The 25,177-nt window shown below is 54.0% G+C and overlaps 1 protein-coding gene across 7 annotated transcripts, besides 1 other annotated feature; it reads left to right on the forward strand.

The window, feature by feature from the left end:
- Window positions 1–1,572: 1,572 nt before the first annotated feature.
- Window positions 1,573–17,581, forward strand: RHBG (Rh family B glycoprotein). Of its 7 annotated transcripts, NR_146763.2 has the most exons (12): window positions 1,573–1,798; window positions 3,544–4,266; window positions 6,969–7,091; window positions 9,663–9,849; window positions 10,352–10,502; window positions 10,614–10,761; window positions 13,709–13,875; window positions 14,168–14,305; window positions 14,430–14,563; window positions 15,110–15,231; window positions 16,776–16,962; window positions 17,139–17,581. NR_146763.2 is itself a non-coding variant. In NM_001256396.2 (11 exons), the coding sequence occupies exons 1-11, from the start codon at window positions 1,775–1,777 to the stop codon at window positions 17,205–17,207; spliced, it is 1,287 nt and encodes a 428-aa protein (NP_001243325.1). In that variant the 5' UTR covers window positions 1,573–1,774; the 3' UTR covers window positions 17,208–17,581. The 7 variants fall into 7 exon arrangements, 3 of the variants coding, with proteins under 3 accessions (NP_001243325.1, NP_001243324.1, NP_065140.3); NR_046115.2 differs by lacking the exon at window positions 3,544–4,266 and having other exon boundaries at window positions 10,614–10,775; window positions 16,889–16,962; NR_146765.2 differs by lacking the exon at window positions 3,544–4,266 and having other exon boundaries at window positions 16,673–16,962.
- Window positions 20,479–20,773: a silencer, noted in NCBI's record as "tiled region #198; HepG2 Repressive non-DNase unmatched - State 4:PromP, and K562 Repressive non-DNase unmatched - State 20:ReprD". NCBI's record gives its function as "represses a minimal TATA promoter and a strong SV40 promoter by Sharpr-MPRA in HepG2 and K562 cells {active_cell/tissue: HepG2 | K562}" and the evidence as "EXISTENCE:reporter gene assay evidence [ECO:0000049][PMID:27701403]".

Here is a 25,177-nt window from a genome sequence, read left to right on the forward strand (position 1 = left end):
AACCCACTGAGTAGAGGCCCTGTGCCTTAGCAGGGCCTTCAGGGCCTTCCCAGCACCACCCCCAGCCTCCCCCAACCTGAGTTCCTGAACACACGGGATGCTTACACTGCCAGGCTCGGTCTATGTTGGTCCCACTTCTTATAATGTCTCCTCTTCCTTCTTCACTTGTCCAATTCATAGATTGTCCTTCCAGATCACCTTCATACATTCATTACCTTCTCAGGAAGCAATTCTCCATCTCAGTCCCCTCCCTTACCCCTATCCCTGGGGCCTCTGCGGCCCCTCCTCCTGGACCCCTGCAGTCTCTGTTCTTCTCTGGGTTGGTCGCTTATCCCACTGGTAATCAAATTTCCTCCTAAGTGTCTGTCTCCACACCAGACAGTGGTTCCTGGAGGAAGGGGCTATCTGGTTCATCTCCAAAGCCTGCCTCACAGTAAGTGTTCAATAAATGTCTGTCTCCTCCATGTCTGTCTACCGGGCCCCCAGTGGATGCCAATCTTGCTTGGGTAATGAGGAACTCTGGACTTGGAATTGAGAAGCCCTCCTTGCATTCAGCCTCCCTCCGCTCCAGCTGCAGAGGCAGCCCAGGCTCTCTCACATCCACAGTGGGCACACAGGGAACCTGGGTGTCAGTGTGGCCCCTGCCCAGCCTGCTTCCCTGTGGTGTGGTACAGATTGGGGGTAGGAAGGGGGAGAGTCCCTTACCTTACACCGCTTGGAGCGGTGTAAGGGACTCCACTGCAGAGGCCCAGACGCCCCAGCCTGGTTAATCATCAGTGCCTGGAGAGCACTATTTATCTCTGTTTTCCATCTCTGCTTTTTCAGTAGGGAAAAAGATTAAGTAAACCCTAACTCTCTCTTGTGTTAACCCTAGAGGGGCCAGACCAGAGTTTTGTTTGTTTGTTTGTTTGTTTTCTGACAGAGTCTTGCTCTGTTGCCCACTCTGGAGCGCAGTGGCACGATCTTGCTCACTGCAACCTCTGCCTTCTGGATTCAAGCGATCCTCCTGCCTCAGCCTCCCAAGTAGCTGGGACTACAGGTGTACCACCACCACGCCCAGCTAATTTTTTTTTCTTGTATTTTTAGTAGAGACAGGGTTTCACTATGTTGGCCTGGCTGGTCTGGAATTCCTGACCTCAAGTGATCCACCCACCCCGGCCTCCTAAAGTGCTGGGATTACACGCGTGAGCCACCATACCCAGCCCAGACCGGGGTCTTTAAGGGCCATTTATTCTTTGGGAGACACTCTAAAGTAACATCATGTATGAGGGTGCGGGTTCTCCCACCCCCAGGTCCCACAGCTGTGCCCTATCAGGGCAGAACACATGGCGCCTTTCCAGGGTCGCGTCCAAGGACCTGGCACCGTAACAGTGCCAGGATCAGCGCCAGGACTGTGCGACTCCCTTCCCCAAGTCTTGGCCCTACCTTGGGCCGAGGGTCCAGGACCCCCCGACGCCCCGCTCCTGGTCCCCGGGGCCCTGGGCCTGCGGCAGGTGAGGGCGGGGCCTCCGTGAGCAGGGCCTCTGTGGGCGGGGCTCCGTGAAACCTGCCCTGCCGCCGGGAATTGTCTGCCAAAGCCTGCGAGCGCCAGCCGAGATCGCAGCCCAACCCATGGCCGGGTCTCCTAGCCGCGCCGCGGGCCGGCGACTGCAGCTTCCCCTGCTGTGCCTCTTCCTCCAGGGCGCCACTGCCGTCCTCTTTGCTGTCTTTGTCCGCTACAACCACAAAACCGACGCTGCCCTCTGGCACCGGAGCAACCACAGTAACGCGGACAATGAATTTTACTTTCGCTACCCAAGTGAGTGCGGGGTGAGGGCGCGCGGGAAGCAAAGACCCCAAGATTTGCAAAGACCCTCCGGTGTCTTGGGAGGGAGCATTTGGGTGCCCGCATTTAGCTGGGCAGCCGTCTCGCTCTGAGGTGGAGGGGCTCTGGGTTTAAAATCTCACCCTTTCACTAGTGCCTGCTATGATCCAGGGTACCGTGCTGATACATATGCCTTATCTCACTTAGTCTATGAGTTAGACAAAGGTGGGGAAACTGAGGCTTGGTTAAGTGGCTGATTCAGGGTCACACAGTCACAAGTCAGGGAGTTGGGATTGGAAGCCAGATCTAGAGCCCCAGCTTTAACCATCCTCTTGTCCCACATCTCAGTTGGCCTAATTGGGCTTTGCTGGGCTGTTCCAGAGACTGCCTTTCCTAGGGGCTCCACCCTGAGCATGGGAAAGAGAATCCTGCTGGGCAGGGAAGGTAAGAGTGGGGTTGTGAGCGGTCATAATGGCAGGTGTTAGGTATGAATCGCCCACACGTGTAGGCAGCCAAGACCAGTTGGGATCAGGCATTTCTTCCCTAGTCCCTCAAAGCTGGTCCTTTCAGAGACAAAGAGAAAATGAGGCAACTGGCCAGTCGTGGTGGCTCACACCTGTAATCCCAGCATTTTGGGAGGCAGGCGGTTCACCTGAGGTCAGGAGTTCAAGGCCAGCCTGGCCAACATGGTGAAACCCCATCTTTATTAAAAATACAAAAATTAGGCCGGGCGCGGTGCCTCATGCCTGTAATCCCAGCACTTTGGGAGGCCAAGGTGGGTGGATCACGAGGTCAGGAGTTTGAGACCAGCCTAGCCAACATAGTGAAACTCCCGTCTCTACTAAAAATACAAAAAATTAGCTGGGTGTGGTGGTGGGTGTCTGTAGTCCCAGCTACTTGGGAGGCTGAGGCAGGAGAATCTCTTGAACCCAGGAGGCAGAGGTTGTAGTGAGTCAGGATCACGCCACTGCACTTCAGCATGGGTGACAGAGCGAGACTCCATCTCGAGAAAAAAAAAAATTAGCCGAGCGTGGTGGCAGGCGCCTGTAATCGCTGCTACTTGGGAGGCTGAGGCAGGAGAATTGCTTGAACCCAGGAAGTGGAGGTTGCAGTGAGCCGAGATTGCACCACTGCACTCCAGACTGGGCAATGACAGAGTGAGACTCTGTCTCAAAAAAAAAAAAAAAAAAAAAAAAAAGAAAGAAAATGAAGCACCATCTACCTGCTAATCACAGAGCAGCAGCCCCCAGACTTGGCAGGAAGCATGGCAGCGTCATTAGTCCATTTCACAGAAGGAGAAGCTGAGTCTCAGAGGGGTTGTGAGTTGTTCACGATCACCCATCATGTGAGTGGCAGAGCTGGAACTAGAACTCAGGCATCCTAAACTTTTTGCCCCACAAGTCACCTGCCTGCTGACAAGTTTCAATAAAGACAGAGTTAACCTCCCACCCCCACCCTCAGCCCCATGGGAATAGAGCCTCACCTTCAAAGGTTGGGGACCCTGCCTTGCAATTCAGGCCCTAGGCAGCTGGGACCAAGAGCACCAGATCTCCCAGAATTTATCACAAGTGCTTGGGCAGGTCATCTCCAAGCCTCAGTTTTTCCCCATCTGAGCAAGGGGAAAAAGGATGCCTCAGTTTAAAGGAGATACATTCAAACAAGGCCTAGAGTGTGAGAGTCTCCTATTAAAAATTTCCAGCTCTCATTACCTTATTTTCTTTCTTTTTTTTTTTTTTTAGAAGAGTCTCACTCTGTTGCCCAGGCTGGAGTGCAACGGCGCAATCTCGGCTCACTGCAACCTTCACCTCCCAGGTTCAAGCGATTCACCCGCCTCAGCCTCCCGAGAAGCTGGGATTACAGGCACCCACCAAAACACCTAGATAAGTTTTGTATTTTTAGTAGAGATGAGGTTTCGCCATGTTGGCCAGGCTGGTCTTGAATTCCTGACCTCAGGTGATCCACCCACCTCGGCCTCCCAATGTGCTGGGATTACAGGTGTGAGCCACTGCACCTGGCCCTATTACCCTACTTTCTGTATGCAGAGCTCATCAGCAGGCTATCCCCACCTCACCCTGTTCTAGACCCAACAAAATGAAGCTCAAAATGCTAAGGATATAGAGAGTGAGGTGGAAACTTGGACTTGGGTGTGAAGCACCAGAGCCCCCACCCACCCTAGGCAGAAGGGGCTACAGCTCCTCCCTCCCCATATTTCATCCACAGCCCTGGCTAGAAAAGAAGGATAGAGAGTTGGGAGGGAACAGTCCAGAGTCTGACAGAACTAAGCTGTTGCGTAAGGGTCTGACCTGGCTGCTTGCCATGAACCCCTGACTTGCTTCTCCTCGAAGCCTCCTTATTACAAAGCTTTCCCTGGAGTCCAGCCTCTTGCCCCTGTGCTGCAATGGTAGGCTCTCCTTGGACATACAGCATTTCATCCCTGAATTGCAATAAGAGAGATATAAAAGGTGGGATTCCTACTTCTTTTTCTGCCCTAGGTTTCCATTCCTGTGGACTTGGATACTGTTGTGGGGGAAGGTTGGGGAGGCGGGAGGTGCAAGGTCCCTAGAGCCTGGGGCTTTGATGAGCCGGGTCCTCACCTGTCCTTGTGCCCAAGGGAAGGGGTCAGGGCCAGAGGGAGGTGCAGCCACTGCCCTTTGATTCGGGAGATGAAAGGGAGTTGTGTGACTGTTGTTGAGCTCCAGGACTGGCCAATGCCAAGACATGGCTAGTCTGAGGGTCCGTCTGTTTTCTCTGCTGGAAGGACGCTGAGAGCCCATCTGGTTCACCCACTCAGATGCTGAGAGTGAGTCAGAGAGGTCATGTGACCTGGCCAAGTCACACAGCAAGTTACAGAAGGAGCCAGGCTAGAACCAGGTCTCTTGATTGCCCATCTGTGGCCTTCCCCCTACACTACAAGCCTCTTCTTCCAGAAAGCAAGTGATGGAAAAATAACAAAGAAGGGGAAAGAGCCAGGGCTAAAGGGCCACAGAAGCAAACATGAGAAAGGGTTCTGAAAAAATATGGACAGGTTCTTTTTTCATACATCTCATAGACCTTACTTGCAGAGAGAGGGATTTAGGATAGATGGAATCAGGATCTTCTTGGAAGAGGTGGGGGATGAAGGATGTGACCAGGACCAGAGTGGCTTGTGATCTCTTCTAGGAGAGAGAATACAGCTCCACTGTCCCCTAGAGGCAGGCGGGATGGATGGTGGGGAAGTTGGGGGAGATGGCCCCCTCAGCTCCCCCTGCTTCTTCTTGATTATCATATTTAATATCCATACTTTACAGATGAGAAAACAGGCTCAGAGGGTTGTCCAAGGTCATAAAATCAGAAGGAGGTGGGGAGACATGGAATTAACTGATTCATTGAAACAGGGTCTCACTCTGTCATCCAGGCTGGAGTGCAGTGGCATGATCACAGTTCATTGTAGCCTCCACATCCCAGGCTCAAGCAATTCTCCTGCCTCAGCCTCCCAAAGTGCTTGGATTACAGGCATGAGCCACCACGCCCGGCCAGACTTAGAATTTAAATCGAGCTCTGCTAGATGCAAAAGCCCCAGCTTTAACAGCTGTCTTCTCCCATAATCTTGTCTGGTCCAGGAGTTATCTAGCTGGGTTGCAGAGGGGCAGCAAGGGAAGGAGGGAGAGTAACAGGTGGCTTTGGAGAGCTTTATCTTCTCTCCAATCAAAGGTGCTTGGGGCTGGGCACCATGGTTCATGCTGTTATCCCAGCACTTTGGGAAGCTGAGGTGAGAGGACTGCTTGAAGCCAGGAGTTTGAGGCCAGCCTGGGCAACAAACAAAGTGAGACCTCGTCTCTATAAAAAATAAAAAAATTAGCCCAGTATGGTAATAAGCTCCTGTGGTCCTAGCTACTCTAGAGGCTGAGGAGGGAAGATTGCTTGAGCCCAGGAGGTTGAGGCTGCAGTGAGCTGTAATGGCACCACTGCACTCAAGCCTGGGCAACAGAGCAAGAACTGTCGCAAAAAAATAAAAAAGTGTATGGATTTGGTGGGGGTGGGGTGGGGTGGGCATCAGACTCCATCCCACCCGCACAGGCATCCTCTAAAGGGGATGTTGAGAGGTTGCCTTATTTCTTCCTCCACCTCCAGCTGGAACATCCCCTCACCTCTCAGAGCCCAAAAAGAATTTCTCATTGTGGAATGTTCCCAGAGAAGGAGATTTCTTGATGTTTAGACTCCAGTTGAAAGGCCAGAGCCTTGAGTTTTGATTCCAAACAAACCTGGGGTGGGAGATGTAAACATTTATACCACACAAGTTCTGGACTGGTTTTGGCATGTAATGGTCAGGAGCCCTTGGACCCAACACCCTTCCTTATCTTGCTGTCCTTGAGCACAAGAATAGACATGGATTCTCTTTACTGTTTGCACAAGGAGAAAAGCAGCCAGGCAGTGAGGCTAAAAGAACTTAGGGTGCAGGCTGAGTTTTAAGTGATGCCTCTCCCTTTCTGTTTTTTTCCCCCATCATCTCAAATGTTTATCATTTATTTGTGTTGGGAACATTCAGTATCCTCCTCCTGTTTGAGATGATATAATATATTATTGTTAACTATAGTCACTCTACAGTGCTATAGGGTCCTCAACCCCTAGGCTGGTTAGGATGGGGGCCGCACAGCAGGAGGTGAGTGAATGTTACTGCCTGAGCTCCACCTCCTGTTAGATTATGGCTGCATTAGACTCTTATAGGAGCGCGAACCCTATTGCGAACTGTGCATGTGAGGGATCTAGATTGTGCACTCCTTATGAGAATCTAATGCCTGATTATCTGAGATGGAACAGTATCAATCCAAAACCATCCCCCACCCCCCAACCATTTGTCCAGGAAACTGGTGCCTGGTGCCAAAAAGGTTGGGGATCGCTAGGTATAGATCACTAGAACTTATTCCTTCTATCTTAGATGTAATTAACTGTAATTTTGTATCCTATAACAATCTCTCCCTATTCCCCCTTCCCCCACTCTTCTGTCTTTATTATCCTTTGTTCTACTTTTTACTTCTAATGAGAGCAACTTTTTTTTAGCTTCCACATATGAGTGAGAACATGCGGTGTTTAACTTTCCATTCCTGGCTTATTTCACTTATAATGTCCTCCAGTTCCATCCATGTTGCCACGAATGACAGGATTCCATTTTTTTTTTTTTTTTTAGATGGAGTTTCGCTCTTGTTGCCCAGGCTGGAGTGCAATGGCACAATCTCGGCTCACCACAACCTCTGCCTCCCGGGTTCAAGCGATTCTCCTGCCTCAGTCTCCTGAGTAGCTGGGATTACAGGTACCCGCCACCACACCTGGCTTATTTTGTATTTTTAGTAGAGACAGGGTTTTTCCATGTTGGTCAGGCTGGTCTTGAACTCCCGACCTCAGGTGATCTGCCTGCCTCGGCCTCCCAAAGTGCTGGGATTACAGGCATGAGCCACTTCACCTGGCCAGAATTCCATTCTTTTTTTATGGCTGAATAGTATTCCACTGTGTATATGTACCACATTTTCTTTATCCATTCATCTGTTACTGTTTTAGGATCTGGGTGATTTGGGGAGTGGGTAGGTCTGGAGAAGCAGTGCAGAGTTGGGGACATTTAGTGTCCCAACCCTAGGGCTGGCAGCTGCAGACCTCTAATTTCTTTTTTTTTTTGAGACAGAGTTTCGCTCTTGTTGCCCAGGCTGGAGTACAATGGCACTATCTTAGCTCACTGTAACCTCCACCTCCCGGGTCAAGCGATTCTACTGCCTCAGCCTTCCTAGTAGCTGGGGGATTACAGCTGTGCACCACCACACCTGGCTAATTTTTGTTTTATTAGTAGAGACGGGGTTTCGCCATATTGGCCAGGCTGGTCTTGAACTCTTGACCTCAGGTGATCCACCCACCCTGGCCTCCCAAAGTGCTGGGATTACAGGCGTGAGCCACTGCGCCCAGCCTCAGACCTCTAATTTCAGTACATATCCAGCCCTTGTCCAGGGCCTTGCTAACTCATTTCCTATCTGCCCATGCATATGGCACAAAAAAAAAAAAAAAAGCATAAAAGCATGCTTCTGTCAAAGTTACTGATTGCATTCTAAAGTTCAGTAATTGAGCCAGGTGTGGTGGCTCATGCCTGCAATCCCAGCTACTCATGAGGCTGAGGTGAGATGATTGCTTGAGGCCAGGAGTTTGAGAGCAGCCTGGGCAGCAACATAGCAAGACTGACATCTCTACAAAAATAAATAAAATTCAATAATTATTTTCTGACTTGTTGGTGTGCCTCATCAGATTCCACAAAATAAAGGGGAGCATAATTTTTGTTTTCTTTTTCTTTTTTTTTTTTGACACGGAATCTCACTCTGTTGCCAGGCTGGAGTGCAATGGCGCTATCTCGGCTCACTGCAACCTCCACCTCCTGGGTTCAAGTGATTCTCCTGTCTCAGCCTCCCGAGTAGCTGGGACTACAGGCACATGCCACCATGCCAAGCTGATTATTATTATTGTTTTATATAAATGGAGGGGGGTCCACTATGTTACCCAGGCTAGTCTTAATCTACTGACCTCAAGCAGTCTTCCCTACTCAGCCTTTAAAGCACTGGGATTACAGGTGTGAGCCACTGTACCCAGCCTTATATATTATTTTTATCGGTTTAGCTTTTTATTCAGAGTGGTACAGAATAGAAACCAAACAGAAAAGGCCGCAAATCTTCCTGCCCATAAACCTCACTGACTCTTTAAAAATTTCAAGTAATTCATCTATAAAGTTAAAATATTCAAACTATAGAAAGAAACTAAAAAGTAAAATCATCCTTCCCAGAGTCACCATGTTGCACAACTCCAGGGGGCATCATTTGCATTGAAGTTGTGCAACACAGCAGCCTTGTCTCCTTCTTCCTTCAATTCCTTTTCTCTGAGGTCATCTCTGTTAACAGTTTAAAGCTATTTCCTAAATTTTTTTTTTTTTTTGAGACAGACTCTTGCTCTGTCACCCAGGCTGGAGTGCAGAGGTATGATCTTGGCTTACTGCAGCGTCTGCCTCCTGGGTTCAGGCAATTTTTGTCCCTCAACCTCCCAAGCAGCTGGCATTACAGGTGCGTGCCACCATGCCTAGCTAATTTTTGTATCTTTTGTAGAGACCGGGTTTCGCCATGTTGGCCAGGCTGGTCTTGAACTCCTGGCCTCAAGCAGTCCACCCGCCTTGGCCTCCCAAAGTGCTGGGATTACAGGTGTGAGTTACTGTGCCCAACCTCCTTAAAATTTTTAAAAAAATAACCGGGCACAGTGGGCCTCACCTGTAGTCCCAGCAACTTAGGAGGCCAAAGTGGGAGGACTGGCTGAGTACAGGAGTTTGAGGCTGCAGTGAGCTATGATCATGCCGCTGCACTCTTCCCTGGGTGACAGAGCGAGACATCTAGTAATAATAATAACTTAAAAATCCTCAAAAGGAAGAGGTATAGTCTCTGAAGTATGAGGGATGAAGGGTAGATGTCAAGAAGGACTTTCTAGCAGAGGAAATGTTGAAGTCTGTAGTGGGGAGAATTTTGAGCATGGAGAGAGTCAGCAGCAGAAAAGAGCACAGGTTGGACTTCCAGCCAGTCTGTTGTAAGAGACCCAGGGATGGGGCAAATGAATAGAGCAGAAGGCTTTACTCCCTTGCTCTGACACGAGGACAGCAGGGATGTCGGGGTCCCACTGCTCCAAGCTGGCCAGCTCTGCGCAGGTGGCTCAGGGCTGGGAGCCCCTGACATGCCTGGGGAGTTTTATAGGCTCGGCTCAAGGCAGCCCTGGCTGGTGAGAGCCAGGGGCACTGGCAGGGTAGCTGACTGGATTGTGGGCTATGGCTAGAGCAGCCCCCAAGTGCCCCGCCTGTCCCTGCCCGCTGCAGGCTTCCAGGACGTGCATGCCATGGTCTTCGTGGGCTTTGGCTTCCTCATGGTCTTCCTGCAGCGTTACGGCTTCAGCAGCGTGGGCTTCACCTTCCTCCTGGCCGCCTTTGCCCTGCAGTGGTCCACACTGGTCCAGGGCTTTCTCCACTCCTTCCACGGTGGCCACATCCATGTTGGCGTGGAGAGGTGGGCAGCCGCCACCCACCCAGCTCCCCAAGGTTCACTCGGGAGGCCCCTGCCCATGGGCCCCGGATCTAGCCCTGTCCTTCAAGTCTGCTTCCTGACTCACGATTCTGGGCGTCACTTGGTTTCTCTAGGTGTCCTGCCTGTCCTTATTGCCTGACTTCCTCTCCCATCCTTGACCCTCACACTCAGCTCCACCTCCTCAGTCTTTAGGGCCCTTGTTCCCCAAGAGCTGTGGAAGGGTAGACAGCTCTGGTTCTTCCACCTATTGTGGGCTTTGTCAGATGAGTCACAGAACCTCCTTGAGACTCGACTTCCTCATCTACAAACAGGGCCAGGTGATCCCTTCCAACTCCAGGGAGGAGCTTGAGCTCCTTGTCTTCTCTCCAGAACTCCAACCCCACCCCACCCACCACATCATGCTGTCCTGGCTTCATGCCAGGCAGGAACCCCGAGGCCAGCCTCTCTGACCCCTCTTGTGCTCCCACTTCTGCCCCATCCCCAGCATGATCAATGCTGACTTTTGTGCGGGGGCCGTGCTCATCTCCTTTGGTGCCGTCCTGGGCAAGACCGGGCCTACCCAGCTGCTGCTCATGGCCCTGCTGGAGGTGGTGCTGTTTGGCATCAATGAGTTTGTGCTCCTTCATCTCCTGGGGGTGAGAGTCTGGGGAGGGATGGAGTCGGGGGTGGGGGGTGGTCAAGGTCAGCCTCTGAGCCAGGAGCGTGGGGGTGGGGGCGGGGTGCTGCCTCTCACCCCACCTCCCCAGGTGAGAGATGCCGGAGGCTCCATGACTATCCACACCTTTGGTGCCTACTTCGGGCTCGTCCTTTCGCGGGTTCTGTACAGGCCCCAGCTGGAGAAGAGCAAGCACCGCCAGGGCTCCGTCTACCATTCAGACCTCTTCGCCATGATTGGTGAGGCCTTCGAGGTGCGGTAGCAGGGCAGGGGGCTGGTCTGGAGGCCTCATCTGGGCCAGAGGTGACTGTCTCTCGGGGTGCTGACTGCAGTCCTGGGGTTGTGGGCATTCACTTCCCATTTGGATTCTGCTGTGAGAGCTCTGGGACCTGCCTGCACTTATCATTCTCAACAGTTTTATGACAAGTTCAGCCTGGGGAATGCATATGCCCTGGGTCCTTTCTAAATCCACCTCCATCCTACTTAAAACCTTCCAGGGCTCCCACCAGCCACAGGTTAGAAAGTGGCCTCCTCAGCTGCCACGTCAGCCCCTCCTCCTCCCTCCTCGCTGGCTCAGGCTCCAGCCAGACTCAGCTTTTGCCTGCCCTCACCTCCAGGCCTTTGCCTGTCTGGTTCCCGGCAAACAGGCAATCTCTGCCGGCCCCTGGTGCTGCCTTCCGCCTCCTAAGGATATTTCCTCCCGGGAGATTCCTGATGCCTGGAAGCCCCTGCACTCTCAGGCAGGGATAAGGAGAGGAAGGGTGTTGGGTCACCCCAGGGACCCATAGGAGCTAGGAGCCCTGTCATCTGTCATCACCACCTGCTGCTTCTTCTTCTTTTTTTTTTTTTTTTGAGACAGAGTCTTGCTCTGTTGCCCAGGTTGGAGTGCAGTGGTGCGATCTCAGCTCACCACAACCTCTGCCTCCTGGGTTCAAGCAATTCTCCTGCCTCATCCTCCCGAGTAGCTGGGATTACAGGCGCGTGCCACCACACCCAGCTAATTTTTTATATTTTTGGTAGAGACAGGGTTTCACCATGTTGGCCAGGCTGGTCTCGAACTCCTGACCTCAGGTGATCCACCCACCTCGGCCTCCCAAAGTGCTGGGATTACAGGCGTGAGCCACTACGCCCGGCTACCACCACCTGCTTCTAAGCATGTGCCTCCACCTCAGCTTCTGTTCCTCTATTTTCATAACTGCAGACAGAAGGCAAATCTGTATTTTTAATTTTTTTTTCATAGAAGGTATTGAATAGGGACTGAAGTACCTATTCCTATATGAAACAGAGAGGCTGGCTTAGGATTGCTCAGCACTGCTGGGTCAGAGTACAAAGAACCCCAGGCCAGCTGAGGCCTCCTTGCCCTTTGAGACCCAGATAAGTTTGCCTTGAATTCCAAAGGCTTCCCCAAGTTTTCCAGGCATTCCCAGGAGACTTACATTCTCAGCTGTCTGCCTCCCAGCTCCTGGATTTTAGTGTCACCCAGACAGGAATGAGGCCCCTTCCTGGATTCTCCCACAAACGCTCCACCTACAGGATGCAAATGTGAGTGTGGGAGATTTTACTCCAGATTGCCGGGCTGCTGGGAGAAGCCACACCCAACAGACTACTCAGGACACGGTGGTCCCTAAGCCTCCCACCTTGCTGGCTTACACCACAGGGTCCCCAGCCTTCTCCTTCACCTTGTTGTTTGGGTCCTTCTGTCTCTCCCTCCAGGATGGACCTGGGAACCTCATGCAGGAAGGCAGGGTAAATGGGCTTCCAGTTCTTTCCCAAAATGCACAGGCCCAGCCCATTCAGTACTCAGCAAACAGAGGCCTCTCCCAAACACTGAAGGGTCCACCCTCTCTAGGAGAGATTGAGGTTATCATTGTTTTCCTGATATGTGTATCAAGTACCCAGCATAGTCCCTGACATGCAGTGGCCTTTGCCTTTTTTCCTTTCCTTTCTTTTTCTTTTTTTTTTTTTTTTGAGATGGAGTCTTGCTCTGTCTCCCAGGCTGGAGTGCAGTGGCATGATCTTGGCTCACTGCAACCTCCACCTCCCAGGTTCAAGCAATTCTCCTGCCTCAGCCTCCTGAGGAGCTGGGATTACAGGAGTGTGCCACCATGCCTGGCTAATTTTAGTAGAGACAGGTTTTCACCATGTTGGTTAGGCTGGTCTCGAACCCCGAACCTTGTGATCCGCCTGCCTCGAGCCTCCCAAAGTGCTGGGATTATAGGCATGACCCACTGTGCCCGGCCTTCTTTACCTTTTTTGATACTTAAAAAATGCCAGTGTTCTGGCCGGATGCAGTGGCTCACACCTGTAATCTCAGCACTTTGGGAGGCTGAGGTGGGCGGATCACCTAAGGTCAGGAGTTCGAGACCAAACTGGCCAACATGGTGAAACCCCTTCATCTCTACTAAAAATACAAAAATTACCTGGGTGTGGTGGTGGGCGCCTGAAGTCCCAGCTACTCAGGAGGCTGAGGCAGGAGAATCACTTGAACCTGGGAGGCAGAGATTGCAGTGAGCTGGGATCATGCCACTGCACTCCAGCCTGGGTGGTAGAGTGAGACCTTGTCTCAAAAAAAAAAAAAAAAAAAAAAAAATTCAACGTTACGTGGTTTTCAACAAAGTAGTTTCTTTTTGGGCCAGTGCCCTTCAATAGCTGCCATTTGCTGGGCATTTTGTGCCTGCTAGGCCATGGGCTATGCATTTATGTGCATTGCCTCATTTAATTACCACTTGATGAGGTGGTATTATTATTATTATTATTGAGATAGGGTCTGGCTCTGCAGCCCAGGCTGGAGTATAGTGGCACGATCTCAGCTCACTGCAACCTCTGCCTCCCAGTCTCAAGCGATCCTCCTGCCTCAGCCCCCCAAGTAGCTGGAACTACAGGCATGTGCTACCATGCCCAGCTAATTCCTTTGTATTTTTGGTAGAGATGGGATTTCACTATGTTGTCCAGGCTGGTCTCAAACTCCTGAGCTCAAGTGATCTGCCTGCCTCGGCCTCCCAAAGTGCTGGGATTACAGGCGTGAGCCACCGTGCCCAGCCCAAGGTGGTATTATTATCAATCCCACTGAACATATGAGGAAACTGAGGCTGCTGAGGGTAGGTGATTTGCCTGCAGTTATACAACTTGTACCTTGCGTGGGAGTCACTTCCTTCTTCTCACTCTGCCTGTCTGTCCACCATCTAGGGACCATCTTCCTGTGGATCTTCTGGCCTAGCTTCAATGCTGCACTCACAGCGCTGGGGGCTGGGCAGCATCGGACGGCCCTCAACACATACTACTCCCTGGCTGCCAGCACCCTTGGCACCTTTGCCTTGTCAGCCCTTGTAGGGGAAGATGGGAGGCTTGACATGGTATGGGGAAGAGGACTTCAGAGAGGCAGAGGGGGTGGCCTGGGCAGGGGAGGAGAGGTCTGAGACCCTCAAGAAAGATTCTCCCGGGGAACAGATAAGGGCACAGGCATAGGGGCTCCATCTGTGCTGGTGGCTATGGGATCAGAATGGGAGGCGATATGGTAGCAGGACAATGAGAGGTTAGATGGCAGAGGGACTTCCAGAAGCAGTAGGTGTCACTGTGGTGTGTAGGGTTGGGTTGCTGTGGGTGTGACAATCTGAAAGGGCCTCCAACACCTTGCTCTTCCCTTAGGTCCACATCCAAAATGCAGCGCTGGCTGGAGGGGTTGTGGTGGGGACCTCAAGTGAAATGATGCTGACACCCTTTGGGGCTCTGGCAGCTGGCTTCTTGGCTGGGACTGTCTCCACGCTGGGGTACAAGTTCTTCACGGTATAGATGCCTCTTGGAGCCTGGGCAGAACATGGAGTCTTTGGTACCTTTCCTCCCGCCTCTCCAACAGGATGAGGTGGTGGGGAGTGGGCACAGGAGACTCATGATCTGTCTTGCCCTCCAGCCCATCCTTGAATCAAAATTCAAAGTCCAAGACACATGTGGAGTCCACAACCTCCATGGGATGCCGGGGGTCCTGGGGGCCCTCCTGGGGGTCCTTGTGGCTGGACTTGCCACCCATGAAGCTTACGGAGATGGGTGAGTTTCCTCCCAACCCGTACTGCAGTCGTCATCCATCTGGAATGACCTCTGTCATTCTCTTTCACTGTGTGTGACCAAGAAAAAAGAATGAATTCATTCATTCATCCATATTCTGGGAGCAAAGGAAATTGGAGTTAACAAAACCAACCCAGAAACTGCCTTCCTGGTCCTCTATCAAGTGCAGCAGAAGGTCATGGAACAAATGACTTCAAGAGTGTTACTTGTTACTGAAGGGTCAGTAAGAGATAATGACCTTTAGGATCTATTTTTGCACATCAAGGGTGGGCAAAAGCAACCCGCAAATGGAGTCTTAAAAGGTGCCTAGGTGTCTGCTGGCCTACAAGGGTGGGAAGGTGTTCCAGGCTGTGGGCCTGGCTTGAGCAGTGGCCTGGAGGTGAGACTCAGCCTGGCATGCACCCTCGAGACCCTCTTGGCCACTTCCTGTTCCCCAGTGTGAGTTCCAGTGCCATGAGCAGCCCTGGCCCCGGGCTGCATCCCTCTCTCTCCCTACCCCTGCCTTTCCTCTATCTGGTCTCCCTGCAGCCTGGAGAGTGTGTTTCCACTCATAGCCGAGGGCCAGCGCAGTGCCACGTCACAGGCCATGCACCAGCTCTTCGGGCTGTTTGTCACACTGATGTTTGCCTCTGTGGGCGGGGGCCTTGGAGGTGAGTAACCTTGGATTTTCTAGAGGAAGGGGCATGGGATCCTATAAGCCTGACATGAATTCATTCACTCATAGATATTTATGGAGCATCTACTTTGTGCCATAAAGTAGGGATTGGGTTGTGGGTTAAGGGGTAACCAACCTCCTGCAGGCACAGAGGTGCATGCAGGTGCTTGCTCCTTTCTGGTGCCGAGGGCAGCTGGGGAGTCCGCGAGGGGTGAGCGAGGCCCTCTCTTATGGGTCTATGCTTGCCTGTGCTGCTCCCTCTGCCCACTAGAGGGAAGCCCAACCTCAGGCTGAGGCCTAGAAGGGGATGGCTGCGCCATGTGGGGCAGGGACAAGGAGGGGAGGAGATGGCCTGCCACTTCCAGACCCCAGTGCGAAAACCTTCCACAGAGGCACACTGTCCATGGCCCTGGGTCAGGCAGTCGCTCTTCATGTTTGGCCTTAGTCTTTTTGGCCTTCAAAATAAAACCTGATTCAGCATCCCCTCTGTCTCCCGGGTTCAAGCCATTCTCCTGCCTCAGCCTCCGAGTAGCTGGGACTACAGGTGCCTGCCACCATACCTGGCTAATTTTTGTATTTTTAGTAGAGACGGGGTTTCGCCATGTTGGCCAGGCTGGTCTCAGACTCCTGACCTTAGGTGATCCGCCCGCCTCGGCCTCCCAAAGTGCTGGGATTACAGGCGTGAGCCACCGTGCCTGGCCTAGAATCTACACTCTTTTAAAAAGAGATTCCCAGGTGATTTGATTGCATGTTAACGTCTGCAAAGCACTAGGTTAGATGTGAATACAGGCACCCGCCACCATGCTGGGCTTATTATTATTATTTTGTATTTTTAGTAGAGATGGGGATTCACTGTGTTAGCCAGGATGGTCTCAATCTCCTGACCTCGTGATCCGCCCGCCTCGGCCTCCCAAAGTGCTGGGATTACAGGCGTGAGCCACTGCGCCCGGCCTATTTTTTTTTTTTTTTTTTTTTTGAGACGGAGTTTCGCTCTTGTAGCCCAGGCTGGAGTGCAATGGCATGATCTCAGCTCACTTCAACCTCCACCTCCCGGGTTCAAGCGATTCTCCTGCCTCAGCCTCCCAAGTATCTGGGATTACAGGCGACCCCCACCACACCCGGCTAATTTTTGTATTTTTAGTAGAGATGGGGTTTCACCATGTTGGCCAGGCTGGTCTTGAACTCCTGACCTTAAGTGACCCATCTGCCTCAGCCTCCCAAAGTGCTGGGATTATAGGCGTGAGCCACTGCGCCCGGCCACAATAAGCATTTCCTGTGCCCCTCCTGTGTGGGAGGCCATAGAAAGCTCAGCAGCTGTGGTTCATGATGGAATCAGGAACTGGTCTATTACCAACTGCACACACTTGAGCAAATTATTTAACTTCTCTGAGTCTTGTTTCTTTGTTTGTAATACAGGAATAATATTGGCCTTGCAGGGTTGTTGTGATTACTCAGGAAAGCAAGACTAGTCAAGCACTTTGCACAGGGCCTGGCACATAGTAGATGCTCAACAAATACTGCTGTGTTTTGCCTGCACAGGCATCATATTGGTCTTATGCCTCCTAGACCCCTGTGCCCTGTGGCACTGGGTGGCACCCTCCTCCATGGTGGGGGGCAGAGAAGCCTCACAGATCCTCCCCTACCACCACCAGGGCTCCTGCTGAAGCTACCCTTTCTGGACTCCCCCCCAGACTCCCAGCACTACGAGGACCAAGTTCACTGGCAGGTGAGACATTGCTGGGCTCTCACACCCTCTGAGTCTCCCTTCCCTGCCTCGCCTCCTGTGGCCCAAGTTGCCTTCTTCCTTCCTTGCTGCTCCTTCTCCTCTGGGGTACACCCCTGAACTGTGGCTTCCAGGCTCCTGGAGCTACCCTTTCACCTCTACCCACTCCTGCCTTCCAGGTGCCTGGCGAGCATGAGGATAAAGCCCAGAGACCTCTGAGGGTGGAGGAGGCAGACACTCAGGCCTAACCCACTGCCAGCCCCTGAGAGGACACGCTCCTTTTCGAAGATGCTGACTGGCTGCTACTAGGAAGTTCTTTTTGAGCTCCCATTCCTCCAGCTGCAAGAAGGGAGCCATGAGCCAGAAGGAGGCCCCTTTCCACAGGCAGCGTCTCCACAGGGAGAGGGGCAACAGGAGGCTGGGAAATGGTGGGGAGTGGGGCCGTAACTGGGTACAATAGGGGGAACCTCACCAGATGCCCAACCCGACTGCCCTACCAGCCTGCACATGGGTAGAAGAGGCCAAATTGAGGCACCCAAGTGATCCACTGGCCCCACGTCACACAGTTACAGTGAAGCCCAAGCCAGGCCTGGTTGAGGGTGATAAACGCCACTGTCTCTAAGGGTTCTGACTCTTTGTCTTTGTGCCCTGAGAACATAAGAAGTTTCTCTTACCTTCTAACTCACAATGGTAGAACCTCCTGGAGAGGCAGGAAAGGGGTTTAGTGCTGACAAATTCCTGATTCCTGATCTGTAGAAGTCCCTCTGGAGTGCCATGTCCTGCCAGTGCCCCGCCTAGGCTTGCCTGTCTCCAGGCACAGGGAGTTCATTCTCTCCCAGAAAACAGGATTTTTTGTTACAGGATATCTTGGGCTGCGGGAGAGAGTTCTTCCCATTCCAGAACTGCTGCTACTCTGACCTTCAACTTGGGCAGCCTCTGAGCAGAGAAGGAAGAGGGTGCCCACAGGGCCCAAGGGAGACATAAGCTGTTTGCCACCAACCCTAATAAGCTAGCAGCAGCCCGCACCTAGTTGCCACTTATGTCCCTGTCCTGAGTCTGAGGAGCGGGGAATAGCAAGGGCATCATTGTGTGGATTAGGCCTGTGGCAGAGAAGGTTGAAGACCACCCCCCGCCGCGACCCCCACCCAAGGGCCTCTGTTGTCCTGAAGTCATTTGACCACCAGAGGGCGCACCAAACCCAGAAGAGGAAGATGCCGCTTTTATGCCCTTCCTTGGTCCTCTATGAAGAATGAAGCTCCTTCCTGCAGCCTAACCCCCTTCCTGTCTGCGTCAGCTCTGGTCCTCATGCATTCATGCCACAAGCCTTTTTTGAGCTCCTATCCACCACTACATGTCAGACGGATGCCAGGGGTTTCAGATCTCTCATCCAGCAGAAATCCATCCCTCCAAGTAGACTGGAGCCCCCTTTCCAACACTGAAGGACTGGGACCCCCTCCGCCTTCTCCTGCCCTTCCCCTAGGCTTCTGACTACAGCTATCTCTCCCCTAAAACCAAGACCAATCAGACTTAGGAACCCAAGGAGGAAGTGGAAAGATTCCTGGGACCTAGCCCTGGAATGAGGACAAAAGGTGACCCCATCAGGCTCCATGCTCACCGTAGCTGGAGGGACTGACCTGGGCTGGTTGGAGAGGCCAAGCCCTGAGGTGAGGAGAAGGAGGTTGAGGGACAAGGCTTCCGTGGAGCCATCCCAGCTCATGTGGCCCAGTCTCTTCAGTTCCCCTCCTTCCTCCACAGCCCCCCATGCCCATTGTTGGCTGTGGTAGGTGTATTGGGAGGAGACCCTTGAGTGGAGGCAGAAGGATGACTGCTGGGATCACACAAAGGTTCCTGATCACTGTCAGCCCTTGCTAAGAGGAAGGGAGGAAGTTTGGGAGAGCTGAGGCCCCACCCCCCATTCTACCTACGGGGCCTCAGTTCCCAGCTCTGTTCTGCATGGGCCCAGATACAGCCAGCTGGCCTGTTCTCCCCGAGTCCTCAGAGATCTGAAAGAAGACTTTCAGGAAAGGGGGATTCAAGGATAGGGTGAGACCTCTCCCTGCCCCAGCCCATTCTGGGTGAGGAAAGCTACAGATCTTCATTTATTCATGGCACTAGCTGGATGAGGTGGCTCACACCTTTAATTCCAGCACTTTGGGAGGCTGAGGCAGGAGGATTGCTTGAGCCCAGGAGTTTGAGACCATCGTGGGCAACATAGTGGGACCCCATCTGTACAAAAAAATGAGCCAGGTGTGGTGGTCTGCAGCTGTAGTCCCCACTAATCAGGAGGCTGAGGCAGAAGGATCGCTTGAGCCCAGCAGTTCATTGCAGTGAGCCATGATCGCTCTACTGTACTCCAGCCTAGGTGAGAGAGACCCTAGCTCAAAAAAAACAAACAAAAATTCATGGCACTAGCATTTTACAACCTGACCCTTTCCCTCTGCTGGCTGATTCCTTCCCGACTACCACTGAATCTTTTCCAGGCCTGAAAAAATGGGCAGCTCTAGCCCAGACTGGTCATTGCTGGGGAGAGCGGCCCATCTCAATCCAGAGAGGCTTCCTGGAAAAGGAACAACTGAGCCCTCTTTAGGAGAAGGCAGTTGCCCAGCCAGGTTCCACAGGACAAAAGGGTATAGGTCTCATCATAGCCTGACAAGATGTCCTGAGAAAGGGGCAGGGAGAGAGCTAACCCATAAGAGGTGGCCCTGTGTGCCCCGTAGACAGATAGTTCCAAGCTCTATCACCTCCATGAAGCCTCCCATAGCCCAGGCAATGATGCTGATCCCTGCCTCAAGCCCCTGCACCCTGATCGCATTCTTATTCAGGGGACTGTCTGCCCAGGACTGAACTTTCCTAAGCTAGGCCCTTGGTTTTTCACTCTATTTCCTCCTCTCCCTCCCACTACTTTACCTTGAGTGCTGGGATCGTCTCATCATGGGCCCTCCAGACCTTGTTCCACTTCATAGGACTGAGCCATTCTTTGTGGTCTGGGTGTGGGTGATTATCCCGCCACTGATTTCAGTCAGGGAGCACAGAGGGCAGGAAAGACAGGTACCCTTAGCGCCCCTGCTCAAATGCGACCAAGCCCTTCCCTCCCCTGAAGTCCCTGCCTCAGCAGCATTGTCCCCCACATGGTGGCCCATCTATTCAGGCTGGGTCAACAGGGGGACAACTAGTAGGTCAAGGAGGTGGTAGGGACAGAGGCCAAGGGGGCTCCTTCCTCACCCCTTCAGGACAATGAGGCCTCTGCCCCTCAGGGACAGCCCCTCTGATCAGCACCATTATTTCTGTCAGTGCAGGACAATCGGACACTTGCCCGCTCATGAACTCTGTCTATCCAACCCCAATGCCTGATCTCTGGGGACAATGATGGACGAGGACACGGCCCCTGCCTGCCTCCCAGAGAAGACTGTTGCGGGGAGACAGGCTGCGCTGGGGTCAGGGTGGAAGCCCGCGGGGCCAGCGGCGTTGAGGGAAGGTTCTCCGGAAGCAGCCGCTGTTCTGGCTTGGCGCAAGTGCGTGTGGACGACAGCAGGATTTCCTGCCCAGGGACATCTGGATAAGAGGCCCAAGGTCCCCAGGAGCCCCCAGGTGCTTCTGCCCTGTGTGGCCAGAGCCCCCTCGGCCAGGAGTTAGAAGCTGCTCCTCTGACCTCTGGAGGACCCGGCACTCCGAACCCCGCGCAGCCTGGGAAAGGCCTGAGATTCCCCGCTATTGGGATTCACATCACGACGCGGCGGCCCCAACTCGGGGAGGAATTAGACACGGCGTGAGTGTCCCAAGTGCGGGGCGGTGGCCGTCCCGGGGCAGACGAGCGCGGCTGCCGCGTCCCCCCACCTCACCCCGATATTCCGCTCCCACCGTCGGGAACTCCCCCACCGCCGCCTCCGGCCCTGCGCGCCCCTTCTCCTTTGTCTGGCCCGCCCACTCCCAGCCGGTCCGCCGCGCCGCCCCGCGCGCCCCGGCCCGTGCGCCCGCCGCCGCCGCCCAGGAACAATGCGGGCCAATGTCTCCGGGCGGGCGAGCCGGCTATGCAAATGCCCAACGGCCTGTGAGAATCCCCTTCGCCGCCGCCTGGGCTTCCACGGCCTGAAAAGGGCTGGCGGCCGGGCCTGGGTGGGGGAGGCGGCCACTGCATAGGGATGAGCTGTTGTCCCGGAGCGCCCGGGACAGAGCGCCATTGTCTGTGCTGCAGTCGTCTGATAGCCAGTGGAGTCAGCCAGCCCGGGAGGAAGGCGGAGGGTGACCGGAACTAGGCCTTGGGGCGCAGAGAGGTGGTCATCTGTCCCCTCCACCCATACCTACTCCTCTCCCCGAAGAGCCTTGACTTTGGGACCTGGCCATGGTGGCCCCCATTTTGGCTGCCCCATCACTAGCTTGCGGGCCTGCACAAGTCTGAACCTGTGTCTCTTGGGGTTTAAAGCTGGTCATCGTTGGTGCTTTTCTTACCCTCCCTCCCTCTTAACCCCCTCCCGGCAAACTCCATCCATTTATACACATCATATTGACCCAAAAGATTTTGACAGGTGTCTCTGAGGCCAATTCTTTCCAGAGCCCTGAGAGAAATACTTGTGGTGTCCCCAAAGCAAAAGAGATTACTGGGCAGAGATGCCCCAAGGCCGAGTCCAGGCCTTCTTTCTTTCTTTTCTCTGCCATCCACCACCAGGTAAGGAGCCCCAACTTTTTACTGGGAGAAAGGCCAGCTATGGCAGGATGAAAATAAACTTCTCCAATGACGCAGAGGTGGGGGCTTGTCACACAAAGTCCCTCCCACAAGCAAAAGAAGTGCATCCCTCTACCCCAGCACAGAAGACTGTACCCATCTAACAGAACGCACCGGTCAAATGCTTGAGAATACCCGGGCAGCGGGCAGGGGAGCTCTTTGCTCAGAGCAAAGCCTGTTCCGGCTGGGAACTTGGCACTATGGACTTGAGCGCTTCCAGGCTGAGCTCCAGTGAATGGGCTGGAGTCTTTGCAAGGCACAGGACCTGAGTTCACCTTTTCTAAACCCACGCTGAGACTCAGGAGCAAGGGCTTCTGCCACTCAAGTGAGATGCTGTTTTTGAGATGGTGCTTGGGCCCTTGAAGCAGTGATGCTTCCAGGACTCATAATGGCTTTAGGGGCAACACCAAAATGAGGACTGTCCCAGGATCTCCAGGTCTTCAGTGGCAGGAAGGCGGGAGAGGCTGAATGAGGGGACGAGGGAGGAGGGTAGGAGGGCAGGCAGTCTTCTGGAAGGCAGGGCCCCACCGCTGGGCTCAGAGGCCTGTTCCTTTGTGCTCTGGCCCAGCCTTCCACCTGAGATGCAGCTCTTCCCCTCTGTCCCCCTGCCCTCTATAAAGATCCAGGTGCAGCATGCATGCCAGCCATTCCGGGGTGAGGCAGTGGGGCCTGGCTTCTGGAATAGTATTTGGAGGACTATTAGATGAGAGGAAGGTTGGGAGCAGGGACCAGGCCTAGGAGCTGAGGCATTTTGTGGGTGGAGGAGGCAGCCAGAGCTCTGTTCACCTCTACTTGGGGTAGTGGGCCTTTCTGCAGCTCCTCATCCAGCCACTCTCCTATCCAGGGCACTGCTGGTCCAACCTGGAATCCCTGCACAGCATTCTGACCTGGGGCTGCACAGCCTCATGGAAACTCCTCCAGAGACCCCAAAAGCCACCTCTGAAAGAAGGTGATCCAGCATCCCCACCCCTCTCCTCTGCCCACCCGAGCCCCAGAGCACACGCGTCCCTTCCATTGCCCTCCATCTCCAAGGCATTAGCAGATGGTCACCCTTGCTTTAGGCAGGCCCCAGAGCTCCCTGCCTCAAAGTGTCCCTTTCCCTTTTGCCTGGATTTCCAGGGATCTCTGGGCTGGTCTGTGGGGCCCCAGGCAGGCACCAAGTAGGCCCATCTTGGCTCTGAGGCTGAGAGAGGAAGTGGGCTTTGTTGTGCCTGGGCATCGTCTGGATTTTCCCACCCTGCTCTTCTTGGCAGGAGAGCCCTCAGCTGGAGAAGCTGCCTCCGCCCCACACCAGCGTCCCCTCCTTCCCAGCTCAGCACCATCCATCTCCGTCTCCCTAGAGCAAGGAATGTGCTCCAGGACACTGTGGGGCTTGTTCCCAATCCCCTTCTAGCTCATTTCACTCGGGCTTTTATAGATTTGCCTCCATCCCATGGGCTGCTGTCTGGGTTCTGGCTCTGAAGACACAGACAGAGGTTTCCCCCTCCTCCCTGCAATTCCTCACACTTCATTTTGTCCCAACAGCATCTGAGGAGGCTGCACTGTGGGGAGTCAAGGCACCCTGGTGTGGGAGGCGATGGGGGTTGGGTGGTGGAGGGTGGGTCCCCTTCCCCATCTTTCCAGCCCCTGGCCCTGCTGGCCTCAGCTCTGGCACTGCCCACAGCGGCTGCATTATTCCCCGTGCTGCAGCCATCCATCCCCTCACCCGCCCTTCCTGTCCACGCCCCACAAGCCTCGATTATTGGTGAAATTAGCACCGGGCTTCTTGTTGGCGGTTGCTAATTAAGACCATTAATAAACGTGATTATTAATGCTGTAGCAGGCAGCAGCCCAGGCATCTAATCACCACACCGCTGGCAAGCGCTGGGCTGCCGGCTTCCACCCGGCTCCATCTTGGGAAGGACCTGCTCCCTTTCCCCGGCCAGCTCACCTCAGGCCCTGCCAGGGGAGGGTGGGTGGAGACAAAGGCACCACGGGGGGTTCACTGAGCCTTGCAGAGAAAAGGAGGGACAACCTGCACTCCAGGGAGCCCCCAAACTGGGCAGGCCGAGGCCAGGATGTGTGCCTGTAAGAGGCCTATGAACCCACCTGATGCCGGTACGCAGGGTGGACCGGGTGGTGAGTGCGAAGGCTCTGGAGAGAGCGTGGGTGGGCGCCTGCACCAGCAGCCCTGCTCTCTGGCAGCCCACAGCTCACGTGCCCTCCTGAGTCCCCCTTTGCCCGCCGCCCTGCAAACCAGGCTGTGGAGTGTGGCCCCTCCTGCGGGGGTTTCACAGTGGTTAGGGGCCATCTCAGCGAGACAGTGAGGTGCTCTCTGTGAGAAAGTAGAAGACACCTCTGACCAGAATGTTTCCCTCAGTTACTGGGTGCCCACCATGCGTCAGGCCAGAGGGTACTGTCATAAACAAAAGGCAGTCTCCTCCTGGGAACTGCCCCATCACATTAGACTACATGAGGTCTGTCCCTGAATGTCTCCCTCACCCCTTCCCTCACCCCTTTACATGGCGTCCCACCTCACACTGCCTGTAATGAGCTGTCTGTTTATCTGTTCACACCAACGGGGCTGTGCTGTGCGCGATGACAGGGGCTGTGTGTCCCTGAGGACAGTGGAAGCCCACTCTGGCTTTGGTGATGAAGCCTTTCCTGCCCCTGTCTCCAGGCCACCCTCCTTCCACGCCCTTCCCTGCTTCGCTGTCCCCTGCCTGACCTCCAGCCTCGGGCTACCAGAGCAGGAGGGGTTGCAAGGAGCCCTCTGGTCCAGTTTGCCCCACTTGGACCCCGTCAGGGCAGGAGAGCCTGCCTGCTCTCAGCTGGGACTCGAGGAGGTAGGATGTGGCCTGCCAGGCAGGGCGGGCCCTGGGGGCCTTTCCAGGAGCTGTCTGCTGCCCAGGCTTCCCCTCTAGTCCAGCCTGGCCTCTGCACCCCCTTCTGCCATCCACTTACACCCCAAGAAGTGATCCACGGCAGCTGAGGAGAGCTTGGGAAGGAACCTCCCCCACACACCTGCTTCCCCCCATTTTTCTCCACCCCAACTTCAATGTCTTGACTTTTTCCTACAGCTTTTGAAGGAAGAATCCACCAAGACTTTAGTCTCTCCCAACCCAGGGAATAAGAAGAGAAAAAAAGTCCTGAAAACAAAAACCCGACAACAACCTTAAAGTAGGAGAGATTGGTTGGAAGGCTTTTAATCCCTTAATCCCTCTCAGATGGGCCTTGAGACGCTAATGATTTTCCTAATTATTCCCTCCGATTTTCCCATCGCTCTGTAAGGACCTTCGAGAAGAGCGAAATTCCGAGTGAGCGGGTGTGGGATGAATGGCAGGCCCACCTCCCCCACATCGGACCCAGAGTCCAGGCGGCTGGAGAGGTGGGGGAAGGGCCAGGAGTGCCCCAGCTGGGGGCTTGGGCTTCTCCGCCACTGACACCAGTGTGCAGGGCGGGCCTGGGACAATGGGGCGGTTGGGGGCTGCCTGAGAGGGCCAGGTGTGGGGCTGGGGT

This window comes from Homo sapiens, chromosome 1, assembly GCF_000001405.40.
Source record: "Homo sapiens chromosome 1, GRCh38.p14 Primary Assembly".
Taxonomy (NCBI): Eukaryota; Metazoa; Chordata; class Mammalia; order Primates; family Hominidae; genus Homo; species Homo sapiens.